Below are 13,763 nucleotides of genomic sequence, written 5' to 3' on the forward strand. Positions count from 1 at the left end.
AGTTTCATTCTTGTTGCCCAGGCTGGAGTGCAGTGGCCATATCTGGGCTCACTGCAACCTCCGCCTCCTGGGTTCAAGCGATTCTCCTGCCTCAGCCTCCTGAGACATGCACCACCACGCCCGGCTGATTTTTGTATTTTGAGTAGAGATGGGGTTTCTCCATGTTGGTCAGGCTGGTCTCAAACTCCCGACCACAGGTGATCCACCTGCCTCAGCAAACTCCCGACCACAGGTGATCCACCTGCCTCAGCCTCCCAAAGTGCTGGGATTACAGGGGTGAGCCACCGCGCCTGGCTAAACGCAGTTTTTTAGCCAAGATTTGAGTAGCTCCTTTTTCAAATTTCTGATTCTTGCTGAGTACTTAAAAAATTGGTTATCAACTCTACCCTCAGTAAAATTAATAAATTTATTAAGTTTGATTATATATAGCTTATTTGCTTGTGAAAAAAGAAGTCTAGAAAACTATTCAGTACCAGCTTCTAGACAGACTTCTCTTGCTAAATATTGATATATTCTTTGTCTGCACATATATGTGAGCACAAATTTGACTTGATGCACATCCACTCAGAAATGATATAACTTTCTTTTCCTTGTAAAAAGTTACTCAGAAACTGTTATATATGTTACTGAAAGCAAGAGTTCCCTGACCCCACTTGCAGGTCGTGCGACAGCGGTATGGCTCCTCTCTTAGGCCACTGTGTGTGCTCAAAACCCTTATGGGATGGGGAGCACACAGATGGGCAGGCGCAGGAGCCCAGGGTCTGGGGTTTATATGGGTACAAGATAAGGGGGCGTGGCGGGCCAAAAGGCAACTTTGGGGCAAGAAAACAGGAATGTCTGTTTCCATTTAGGCATTTCAGGCCTGAGTTTCCAGGCTTGAGGGTGGGGCCTCTGCCAGGGAAGTGCCCTCTTCTACCCAGTATTTCCCTGTTTCCTGTCCATATCATTATTAAATAACATATTGACAAATTCACAGTCTCCATGATAAGATGCTAAATGTTACAAAATTTATGATTCCCTAAATACGATATTGATGACACATTCTCCTCTAAAATAATTTTCTCATACATCTATTTCTTGAATTTTATATTGAACACAAAATTCTCAATGTACCAAACAAATCAATAACATATTTATGTATGTTCAATAGAATTTTAAGTCCATGGTATATCAATTTGCTTTAGGAAAGTAAAAAAGTTCCAGGTTCAAATGATTTGAGGAAATTGTGAATTAAACCCCATTAAATAGATTAATACTGAATATCTTTATTCTCATATTATAATAATTTGTTTTGTGTCTTTTGGATAGGAGTCTATATCCTGCAGAGCTTTACAATGTTTTGACCAAGCTACCACTTTATTTTTCTACAGGATCACATATCAAGACCACTAAAAAAAAAATAATAATTCCTATTTTTTTAACATAATATTACCATCTGATGCTAATATGGATATTTACTGCATAGGTGGGAGATTTTCTCAATGTTCGTATAAAGAGTTTTTATGCTCATACCAAGGACCAACATAAAATTAAATAATATATTTGTAATATATCTGGTTTTATGTCATTGTATAAATTAATAACGATCATTAAATGACCTAAAAATAAATATTAGATCCTCAGCAGAACACGAAGTCCTAACGATAAAATAAGTTTGCTTATCATTGATTGAGAAAATTAATGCTTTAAACTATTTATATTAATAAGAAAATAGAATCTTTTTTTTTTTTTTTTTTTTTTTTTTGAGACGGAGTCTCGCTGTCGCCCAGGCTGGAGTGCAGTGGCGCAATCTCGGCTCACTGCAGGCTCCGCCTCCTGGGGTTCACGCCATTCTCCTGCCTCAGCCTCCCAAGTAGCTGGGACTACAGGCGCCCACCACCTCGCCCGGCTAATTTTTTGTATTTTTAGTAGAGACGGGGTTTCACCGTGTTAGCCAGGATGGTCTCGATCTCCTGACCTCGTGATCCGCCCGCCTCGGCCTCCCAAAGTGCTGGGATTACAGGCGTGAGCCACCGCGCCCGGCCGAAAATAGAATCTTTTAATAACTAAGATTATTTTATTACATATACAAGTATCTGTGATTGGGTTTATATTTTTCTTTAGGTTGGTTGTCTAAAAAAATAGTTAATTACCTTTGTTTGCTCTTTAATGACTTGAAAATATTTGTCTCGGATCTGCTATAACTGGATCAATTCATCCATTATTCAAGAAGTATTTATTAAAAATCTACTATTTGCAAACATGTCCTAAATGCTGAGCATAGAATGGGAAATAAAATCAAGTCATTATATCATGAAGTGGGGTTTTTTTGCATACTATAGTCAATAAGGAATAAACCAATAACTCTAATATTTCTAATATTGACAAGTGCTTTGGAAAAAGATAAAGCAGAGAAGAGGGCAAGGAAGTACCAGGGTAGGGGGTAGGGTTACAATGTTAAGTAAGATTGGTGGGGAAGTTGTCAATTAGAAGGTAGAATTTGAGCAAAGTGCTGGAATAGATAAGAAAACAAGCATTTATGTGTCTCTGTAGTGGAAGAATATTTCAGACAGAAGATAAGAAAGGACAAAGTCACCCAGGAGGAAATTTGTCTAGTGTTCTCAATAAGCAGCAGGTATGAACTGAGTAAGGGGAGGAGTAGTTGGGGAAGAGGTCAGAAAAGTAATAAAAAGGAAAATAGATCATGTAGGGCCCTGTAGGGTATTGAAAAAAAAAACTTGGCTTTTACTGTAAGTGAGATGGGAAGCCATTGGAGGGTTTTGGGCAGAGAAATAACGTTATCTGACTTATATAAGAAAACAGTTTGAACATTGTTGGGACTAGGCAGTAGGGGAGAAAAGAGGACTAGAAAGACAAGTTGGAATCGATATCAGTAATCCAGATTAGCAGTAACAATGGTGGGAACCAGGGTGTTCATGGTAGAGACAATGCAAATGGTCAGTTTCTGAGCATGTTTGAAAATAGAGACAATAGTATTTTCTGACAACAGGCTGTGGGTATGGCAAAAATATTTTAGCTTAATCACTTAAAAAGATCTAGTTTCCGTTTATAAAAAATAAACAGACACACCAAAAACAAAGACTGGAGAAGGTGGAAGGACCATGGGAGATGACTATGAGACTTCTGAATGGAAATATTGAATTGATAACTGGAACTCAACATAGAGTTCAGAAGAGAAGTCTGAAGTAGTGATACATGTACGGGGGTTGTCAGCATGGAGTAGGTCTTAAGGCAATGAGACTGAATAAAATTACCAAGCGAGTGAAGACAGAGAATTAAAGAGGAGAAAGGATTAATCCTTAAGGCCCTCCAATGGCAAGACAAGAGAATAAAGAAGTGCTCAAGAAGAAAACGAAATAACCAGGAAGGTAGGAAAGAACTATAAGAGTGATCTGGAAGCAAAGTCAAGAGTATGTTAAGATAGGCCAAGTCATAGGAGAATTGAGAACCGGTGACTGGTAGCTTTCATAAGAATAATCTTAAATGAAGTGGTAAAGACAACAGGCTGAACACAATGAATTCCAGAGAAAATGGAAGAAAGAAAATTAGAGAACCAATAAAGGGAACTAAACGTTGAAAGTTTTTGCTTTAAAAATAGAGCAGGGAAATGGAGTATTGTCAGAAAGACATATGGAGCCAAGAAGTTTGTATTTTAATTTTATTTTTTTAAATAGGGAGAATTACAGATAATTGATATGCTGTTGGAAGTAATTCAGTAGAGATTAATTAATAATGATGTACCAGAATGAGAAAAGAATTACTAAAGTCATGCCTTTTTGTGGATGAAAAAGAACAGGGTGAAATGCATATGGGAAGGATTGATCTCAGAACATAATTCATGCATAATAACAGAAGGGAAGGAGCATGGAGCAGGTAGATTGGTTGAAGCTGGTGAAAATTCTTTCCTGATTGCTCTTTTCCTGCTCAGTGAAATAGGAAAGAAGGTTACTGGGAGTGATAACTCGGGAGACAGAGCTAGAAGTCTGGAGAGAAATAGAAAAACAATAGCTTTCTGAAGAGCATGGGGTATTAATTGGATTTAGGAAAAAGCAGTTTGATTGTTTAGCACCACTAAAGGGCACACTGGAAGTTTAGTGATTATGAATTTAAAGTGTGCCCAGCACCATGGTTGGCTATTTTTCTCCAAGCATATTCAGCTGTATTGATACAGACATAGAATAAGCAGTGAGTTGTACTTAACTAGAGGTGGAGTTTTGCTAAATTAGTATGATGAGTAATAACAGGAGTAGAAAGTGAAAGGTCAGTGATCAATTTCCCACATGTATAACTTATTCACCTGGTACTGCTCATTCTAATATCATTATTCTTTAAATAATATTAGTAGTGAAATTCAACACTATAAAGGGGTATAAAGGTAGAATAAACAAATTCTCATTAAAACCCATTCTAATTCCAGGTTTCAGAGGTAGCCACTATAAATAGTTTTGTGTCTATCCTTCTAGACATTTTCTATGAATACATAAATAGGTAGATTTTTTAAGCAAAATATTGCTTCTCACTATTCATATGGTTCTGGTACTTACTTTTTTTCACTCAGCAATAAATCACAGGCAGACTTCCATGCTGGTACTTAAAGATCTATCTCATTCTACAGTGACATAATATGCTATTGTTTTTGTGAGGCGTAATTTATTTAAATAATCACTTTTTGATTTAGGTTATTTCCAGTTTTTGCTATTATGGGTAATGCAAAAGTGAACATCCTTATTCACAGAAGTTTATTTGTCCTTGTATTATTTCTCTAATGCAGATTACTTGAGGAAGGATTGCTTAGTCAGAGTATGTACTATTTCATAGTTTTTAGTAAATGAGTAGCCGAAAAGCATAACCATTTATTCTCTTCCACATTCTCATCAACACTAGATATTTAAAAAAATGATAATTCATTTAAGTATATATTTATTATTCTAAAGAGTTTCAGCACCACTTTTTGTTTTACATTTTTAAAACTATGAAACATTTTAAATATATCAAAAAATTATATAAAATACGTGTAGGTACTGATAAGTTTGAAATGATTTTAATAGTTGACCATTGCTGTCTCAGGTCTCTAGTTTTTTTTTTTTTTTTTTTCTATTTATGTCCTTTGGAAAATAGAATTTCCATATACAGTTTAATTCTGACCCTATATTTTCTCCTTTCTTTTCCCCACTTCAGATAAACATTATCCTGAAGAATTTTTTTCTGTTTAACGTATTATATTTCTTACAGTTATCTTTTCGTCTTCATTCTCCATTAGTATGTAAGCAACATTATGGCAGTGACTCATGTTCACTTTGAATCCCCAGTCCCTAGGATGAAAACGGCATATTTTAGGTACTCAATAAATAAATGTCAAAAGAATATTGAATGATTTAATAGGGGTATGTATTCACACTCATGTTTTACTTTTACCAAAACATATGTAACAATATTTTGTATATTCTACAAAAAATTATAAATGTAATCATAATGTATATTTGCTTTTGAAAATGTTTTTGACTTAACATTAGGTTTTTGAAACCTAGTCATGTTAATACTTTTTGATATAGTTCATTCATATGAAACTTTTGGTACTATTACAATACTTATTCTCATTAGAATGGTTTATTCATTTCCATACTAAGGAGCAGTTAGGTAGTTCTATTTAGGTTGTTTCTTACTTTTTCACTTACAAATGAGATAGCCAAAAAACAATTGCCCGGCCATAGAGTAATTATACTAGTATTGCTCATTCTTCTTTAAAGTTTTTGTATTAATTTATATCCTTCCAGAATTTGAGTGCGTCTACATCTTCACCAACTCTTTTTACACAAATTGTGCCAAACTAGTGAGACTAAATTGCACATAATTATTATTGTTTTATTACACATTTGCTTAATTCACTATCTGATTGAGGATCTTTCAAATTTTATTGGTTATTTGGATACACTGGGTTTTTTTAGGGGCCTGTTTATATTTCTTTTTTCCCCACATCATCACATCATTGCCTCTTCCTTACTAACTGAAAATATATCACATATAGTAAATATATGTATATACGTGTGTGTATATGTTTGTGTGTATTGGATACTATTCCTCTACCTAGAAATAGTCTATTTTGGTGATAGCACTTTTGATGCAAAATGATCATTTTTCAGAATTTTCTCTTTTCCTTTATAAAGCTATTTTTTTATTTTTTCTTACCCAAGGACATAAATGTTGTTTTATTTTCATCTAAAAAGTTTTATATGCTTGTAATAAACCTTTATTATTGATAAGTGTACATCTCCCATAATTTTTATAAACAAAATGAAGAGGTATCTGGAGATGATGAAGATCTGAAGGTATCTTCACCTGTCCTAGAATGCTCACTGATCAGTTCATCCTTTGTTATCTGACCTGTAATGTTCACAAGATTACATACAAAGCACCCACATATTTCTGTGTTAGTTACTTATTGATGTGGTAACAGAATACCACAAATTTCAGGCTTTTAAAGAATGCACATTGATTGTCTTAAAGCCCCAAAAATAGAAGTTCTAAATCAGTTTTACCATCTACAGTCAAAGTAATGGCAGGCTGGTTTCTCTTGGAAGCTCTGGTAGGAAAATCCATTTCCTTGCCTTTCTTTTAGCTTTTTGTGGCTGCCTGTTTACTTTGGCTTGTGGCCTCTTCCTCCATCGCCAAAACACAACATTCCATTTGCTACTTTCATCATCATATCACCTTCTCTTTTATGGTAATAAAGCCCTCTGCTTCCCTCTTATAAGGATACTTCTGTTTACATTTAAGACCCACTTGATGATCTAGATAATCTCCCCATCTTGAAATGTGTGATTCAATCACTTCTGAGAAGTTCTGTCTTCCATAAAAGGTATAATTCATAGATTCCAGAAATTACAATGCAAATATCTTTAGAACCATTATTTAGCCTACCACAATTACTTGTATAAAATATTTTTCTTTAATCAAGAAGAGACATTGACTACTATAAAATAGAAAGAGATGTCCTTCTCTAATGAGTTGATAGTACTCTTTGTCTCTTAAATATTTTAAATATAAAATCATGTATTCCTCAAATAATTTTGACTTAGTGATGATTTGCTAATATTTTATTCATTTAAATTATATTCTTACAAAACTTTTACACTTGTATTTTTATTTGAAACTTACCTACAATTTTTCTTAAAATGTCCTTATCTAGTTTTTATATCAAAGCAAGAATTAGTTGGGTATATTTCCTTTTGTTTTCTAATGTCTAAGTTTGAATAAGACAAATATCTTTTTCTAAAAGACTTTCAGATACTTCCTTGTAAAATGGCTGGATTTAGATATTTTTGAAATATTTATTGTAGAAGATGGGTAAGAAAGGATGAAGAATTGTAACTAATGACTTGAGTTTCTTAATGGCACAGGGCTGCTGAGATTTTCCTATAGCTTTTTAAGTAAGTTGTGAATAATTATATTTTGTCCAAAAAATCATTGACTTATGCTATTTCCAACATGATTTGTACTTGCTTTTTACAAGCCCTATTTTATTTACATTTATAAACCATTTGGTTTTAGGCCAATATTATTTCTGGACCATTCCCACAATGGCTTTCTATGTATTCTTTATTTGCATTTTACAGGCATTGATGTGTAGAGATTTCATGGTTGAGTTCTGAATATTTTTAACGTACATTTTAAGGTAAGTTCCCATAGAATGATTTAACATTATCACTATTATTGTTATTGATTTCTTAATTTTTCTGGAGTCAGATAATTAGGTCTGTTTGATTACTCTTTGCCATTTATGGAGACGTGGGTTTTGGTGGTCAATTTTTATTTCTTTTTAACTGGCATACTTGATTTAGCAAAGAATAAACTAAAAATCTCTAAAATTAACTAAAAAATTTAAGGATACTATAATGATGTTAAAGTAAATTTTCTTCTATCTTACATGTTACTTTTTACCAGTGTTTTAATTCCATCTTCGTTTCGTAATTGAAATATTTTTTGTTATAATATTCCTGCTGTATTCAGTCAGTTTTGGATTCATTTTTAACTAAATGTTTGACAATTTATATAATTAATTTTTTTCTCCTGTCTCATTCTGTTATTCAGATAGAGGCCATCACAAGATTTGGTGCATCAGCAGATTTCCAACTGATATGGAATTATTTCAGTATTCTAACAGCTAATACAATTTTTCTGGTATACCTGTTGAATAGCAGGCCTGGGTCCAGAAACAGTAACTATTATGCAGTCACCATTTGAAATTCCATTTCAACCTCAGTTTTTAGTGGGTTTCTCAAAGTATAGACATCTAGATTTATATATCTTTTCACTTAGTAAGTTGAAGATTTTTTTGGTCATCTTTTAATGCTGTGATTGAGGTTCAAGTTTGAATCTAAGTGTGATTTTTTTTTCAAATAAGTGGTTTTTTTCTCCAGTGGCTTCAATAGCATTTTGTATGTTTTATTATTATGTAGTTTCACTGTGGTGTGACAAAGAATACATGATGTAATAAGAAATGTGTGTGCTATTGTGTTATCTTCGCATTTGGCCTCTTTTTCATACTTTCCTTAAGAAATTAAGTGTTTTGTTAGATTATCTCATTTTAGTCCTAATGTCTTTATGTCTTTTCACTATTCTGTGATATTTTCTGTCTCTCTCTGTTGCATTCTAGCTAATTAGTGCAGTGACTCAGTTATCCAATTATCTTTGGACTATTTATAATTTACGTATTACAAACATAAATCTAATTTTGTTTTTTTTTAATTTCACTGTCTATATATTTTTATTTGTAATTGTTCTATTTGTGTCTTTCTCAAATCTTCCTGGTAGTTTTTCTTCCTCTTAAGCATTCAAGTATGTTTTTTATGACTGTAATAATATTAAATATACTTATTTTATGTTCGATTTCAGATTACTATAATATTACATAGGGTATATTACCATATTACTGATGTTATTCATATTTAAAAGCACCAGGCTAGCAGGCTGGAGCACAGGCCAAGGAGGAAGAGTAGCAGTTCAAGTCCAAAGCAGTCTCTAGGGAGAATTCCCTCTTCTTTGAGGCAGATTGGGCTTTTTCTTAAGGCCTTCAGCTAATTAGGTGAGACCTATCGACATTATGGAGGGCAACTGACTTTACTCAAAGTCTACTATTTTACATATTAATTCCATTAAAAAAATACCTTTACAGACACATTGTGAAGTTTGACCAAATATCTTGATTTCATGACTTAGCAAAGATGAATCATAAAATTAACCATCACACCTGCTGGAACAAAATTTTACATTGATTTCTTAACTTGAGGATTTCCAGACCTTGAAAGTTATTGTAAAGTTTCATGCCCTGTCTGCGGGTGTCACTGGCACAGCTACACGTCAAATTCTCAACAAAAAGATACAAGGTTCTTTGGTATTTCCCTCCCCCTGTGGGTATTGTTATTGTTGTTTTTGCTTTTTCTCATCAAGCCATCTACGTACTTGTAAGCTCTTCAAGGGTTGGTCACATTTCTACTTCTCATCCTTTACAGATTTATGGCCCTTTCATCTACCTGTATAAAGTCAAAACTAATCCTTTAGCTTCCCTAGGGCAATATATGCTTCCCTGGGTAATGAGAGTATTTGCTTACATTCTTACCATTCTACTTTTGTGTTTCCTTTCTCTTTCTTATTTCCTCCTCCTCCTCCTCCTCCTCTTACTCTTCTTTATGAATTAAATTATGATTCTAAAATAATTTTATCTCCAATTTCCAGATGCTTTTAGTGGGCAAAAGTTTTGCCAAATGATTTATATTTAAAAGACAGAGAAGCATTTTTAAACATCTTATTCATGTTTAAAATATACTTAAATATATTTTAATAGATTTCTTTCACTTCTTGATGTCTTTATCTCACTGCTATCAATATTGTGCTCATTTTTTATAGTTTAAAATTTTGATCACTGATTTTAAGAGCATTTGACATATTAAGGACATTAGATGCTTTTTGCTCATTTTATTTTCTGTATATTTAATTTAATTTATTTTTTGTCCTTTAAAATTGTATATATTTTGTTAAAGGATTTTTTACAAGTTGTGTGGTCACATTTATCAAATACATTCTTTTCTATGTAGCTTTTGGGTTCTCATCATGGGTATAAAGGATTTCCTCAACTCTAAAATATACATATATAATAACCAAAGTAAAATAATTTTAGTTACTTTATGGTTTTGTATTTAGATTTAAATCTTTAAACACAAGGGATTTATTTTGGTTTAAGGCATTTGGTATCCATGTTTATTTTCTCACAAATAATTAGGTAGTCATCTTCAAACTCATTTTAAGTAATCTATCTTTTTCCCTCTCCAAACACTAATTTTACAGATGAAGGAGCTCAGCCAGAGTATGACTTACCTACTGTTATAGGTAATTAATAATTAAAATGGGATTTAAACTGAGCTCTGTATACAAAATTCAGGTCTCTAACAACTATTCTTTATTTTCTGTTAGTATAGTAAAAATTATATTATCACTTATAAGATTTCTGATATTACTATACAATATTTTCGGTAAAGGATTCAAGTTTGTTAAAACATACAAGTACCAGTACTAGTACAGAATCCTTAAGTGTGTATTTGTGTGTGTTTGAAAATTAATTCTCTCAATGAAGGATATCATAAAAATTAATAAGAACAAGACCTTTATTAAGCAGCAGCAAAGTAATGGCCACAATAACAAGTGAGTGTAGATTGTAATAAAGCAAGTGACATTAAAAAGATGTTGGATATATGTAGGGAAAATTTAATTGGTGTATGTTCATAACATGACGTTTATATCCTCTTAAGAATGTGAGTTTACAGTAATGGGATGTAAAAATTCAACTTGTTGAATTATTTGTGGTATACTTGTTGTCTGTTGTAATATAATTAATATACATACTCAATTACAAAAATGCATCCTGATGTAAACATAGAGGAAGGTGTTGTCTTAAATGTTTCTTTCCATTAATTGGTTATAATATCCCTGAAAATGAATAAAGAAAATATTTATAAATATAAATATGAATAACAGAATTTGTGCTCAATAAATGATTATTGCATTAAGGCAAATGAAATCTGTGCATATGGATATGTTCATTATGCTGCCATGTCTTTTTTAAATAAATTAATTAGCACGTTTTTGGGGGTAATGTGTAAGGAAATATAAGACATTGCTTCTGTTCTTAAATAATTTAATATTTGTCTAGGAACTTAACATATTAACACACAGAGATTAATAATGCACATATATGTTATGACTCAAATTTATAGGAAAGAAAGCTATGGGCATTGAAAGAAGAAAGGGTTGTGTGATCAAAAAATAATGGGTGAAAATGAGATCTGTATGATTATTTTGCCTTTTTAAATAACTTAATATTCCAGTTGATGCATGACTAAGTGAAATAAATATGATGTTTTAAAATTAAACGAAGTAAAGGAGACATATACATCTGAAATAGAAGAGCCAGGAGTTTATGGGCCTCCATTCAAGCACATATAGGTGCTAATAGTAAAAGATTAAATTTAATCTCAGTAGAAAAAGATGAAAATCAAAATGAGGCAACGTTCAGACAGAATAGAAATGGTAAAGCCAGAAGCATCCTCAAGGCAGTTAAATAGCAAAGTGCCTGTTACCTAACAATGAAGATATAGGACCCAGTGCAATGCCCACTTTATGTAACAAGAAGCCTCAGTTTTTGTTTTTTGAGAAGAGGGTAAATTACCTTTTATACTTTAATCTTAAAAAGCATAAATTTATATGTATACTCTTAATGAATATAGTGTTTAAAAGATTGTAAATAACAAGTACAAATATTTTGTAGAGAGTTATCTTGACCAGTTTACTGTTATACTACAATATTCAAACCAAAAGGATTTAATACACTGAAATTTAAACGCAAAGACCATTTTTAACATGTCAATAGGATGTATGAACATTTAATACATTTAGTGACATTCATTAACATACTTTATTTTAACAGAATTATGCTATACTATGATAAAATAGTAGCAAGTATCTATAGCTAAAATAAATAATTTCTTAAAATTGACAACATCAAATTGCATCCATTAAAAAAATTAATGATTAATTCACGTTTTTATATTGGTCTTCGGGTTGAGGTTCATGTTTCTAATGCCTTTGAATCTTGATATTTACAGTTTTTTCAGTAGCACATTAAGAAAGACTTTTGCTTCTTCAAAATAAAGACTTGATTCTTATTTTGAATTTTGAATTTATGCTTTTTCTTATTCATAGGTATTTAATAGGACTGCCTGATAATATTAGTGCCAACCGCCAGGATTATCATGCAACAATATAAAAATATCACATTGTTTTCTAGTCTTGTAAATGTCATATCAGCAGTCAAAGTGTCCATATATTTCACTGAAACACCTTGTTTCTTTCTACACCACTGCTTCCTAATAACAGGAGATGTGACTATCTGAGACTTTTCAGGGCCATTTAGCACAAAGTATGGCTATGAATTTCAAACTTATTTTTAGTCTGATTTGTAAAAATATAGTAAAAGTACTATATTTAAACATTAGGTATTGCATCTTCTACCATTTATTGATTTTTTTCTACATTATTATCATGCTATATATATACATATATATGTATATATACACACATTTATATTTTTACACTTATTTTTTTTCTCCTGTATCTCAGTTGTCTGAAGAGCACACGGATCACGAGGTCAAGAGATCGAGACCATCCTGGCCAACTTGGTGAATCCCTGTCTCTACTAAAAGTACAAAAATTAGCCGGGGTGGTGGTGGGCGCCTGTAATCCCAGCTACTCAGGAGGCTGAGGTAGGAGAATCGCTTGAACCCGGGAGGCAGAGGTTGGAGTGAGCTGAGATCGCACCAGCGTACTCCAGCCTGGCGACAGAACGAGACTCTGTCTCAAAAAAAAAAAAAAAAAAAAAAAAAAAAGAAAGAGGTGACTGATACAGAGTACATGATGATGCAATATTAATTACAATATTATGTTCTCAGTGAAGTTTTCTCTGGCCAATGACATCCTCCCTGACCATCTTCTGTAATAATATAACCACACTGTTAATCCCTTCCCTTACTAACCTGTATCATCAGACGACATTATACATTTTCCTTCGTAACTCCTATTTCCTCTGAGTGGATAGTAAGCTCCATGAAAGCAAACATATTTTCATCTTGTTTTTTAATGTTTATCTCTAATTCCAATGTATGGCAACTTGTAGCCACTAATAATTACTTTTTCAGTGAATAAATGGAAAAGAAGATGGAGCTAGAAAACTTATGAAAGAGCAGGTACTGCTAAGAAGATGCAATTTTAAAATTTTACCTACTGTAAAATTTACCGATTTTGTGTAGTTTTATAAATTCTGATAAGTACATAGTGTTATGTAATCACAACCATAATAAAAATACAGAACAGCACCATCAACCCAAGACTTTTTCTTGTGTGGTTTCATTGTAGTTGATCAGTCTCCCTACTCCTAACTCCTAGCAACCATAGAACTGTGCATTCTTATAGTTCTACCTTTTTCTAGAATGGCATAAAAATGGACTTACATGGTTTGTAGTCAAGTTAGTCTAGCATAATTTTACTTATAATGTATTTGTGGTTTATACATGTTGTATGTAATAATAATTTATTCTTTTTATTGTTGACTAGTGTTTTATCACATGAATATGCCATGAAGTGTTTATTTTTTCACCAGTTGAAGAAAGACTGAGTTGTACCCAATTTTGGGCAATTAAGAATAAAGCCATTGTAAA

General features: G+C 32.5%; 1 long non-coding RNA gene across 3 annotated transcripts in view; it reads right to left on the bottom strand.

The window, feature by feature from the left end:
• LOC102723364 (uncharacterized) overlaps window positions 1-13,476 on the bottom strand; it is a 62,178-nt gene extending 48,702 nt beyond the window's left edge. The window contains exons 1-3 of one of the 3 annotated variants that reach the window (NR_188544.1): window positions 13,083-13,476; window positions 10,897-10,980; window positions 5,231-5,312 (exon numbers count right to left, since the gene is read on the bottom strand). This is a non-coding gene — a long non-coding RNA (uncharacterized LOC102723364). Of the gene's footprint in view, window positions 1-5,230; window positions 5,313-10,737; window positions 10,981-13,082 lie in introns of those variants that run through there. The other 2 variants (NR_188545.1, NR_188546.1) reach the window with 2 other exon arrangements.
• Window positions 13,477-13,763: the final 287 nt, after the last annotated feature.

This window comes from Homo sapiens, chromosome 3 (genome assembly GCF_000001405.40).
Source record: "Homo sapiens chromosome 3, GRCh38.p14 Primary Assembly".
In the NCBI taxonomy this organism is placed as follows: Eukaryota; Metazoa; Chordata; class Mammalia; order Primates; family Hominidae; genus Homo; species Homo sapiens.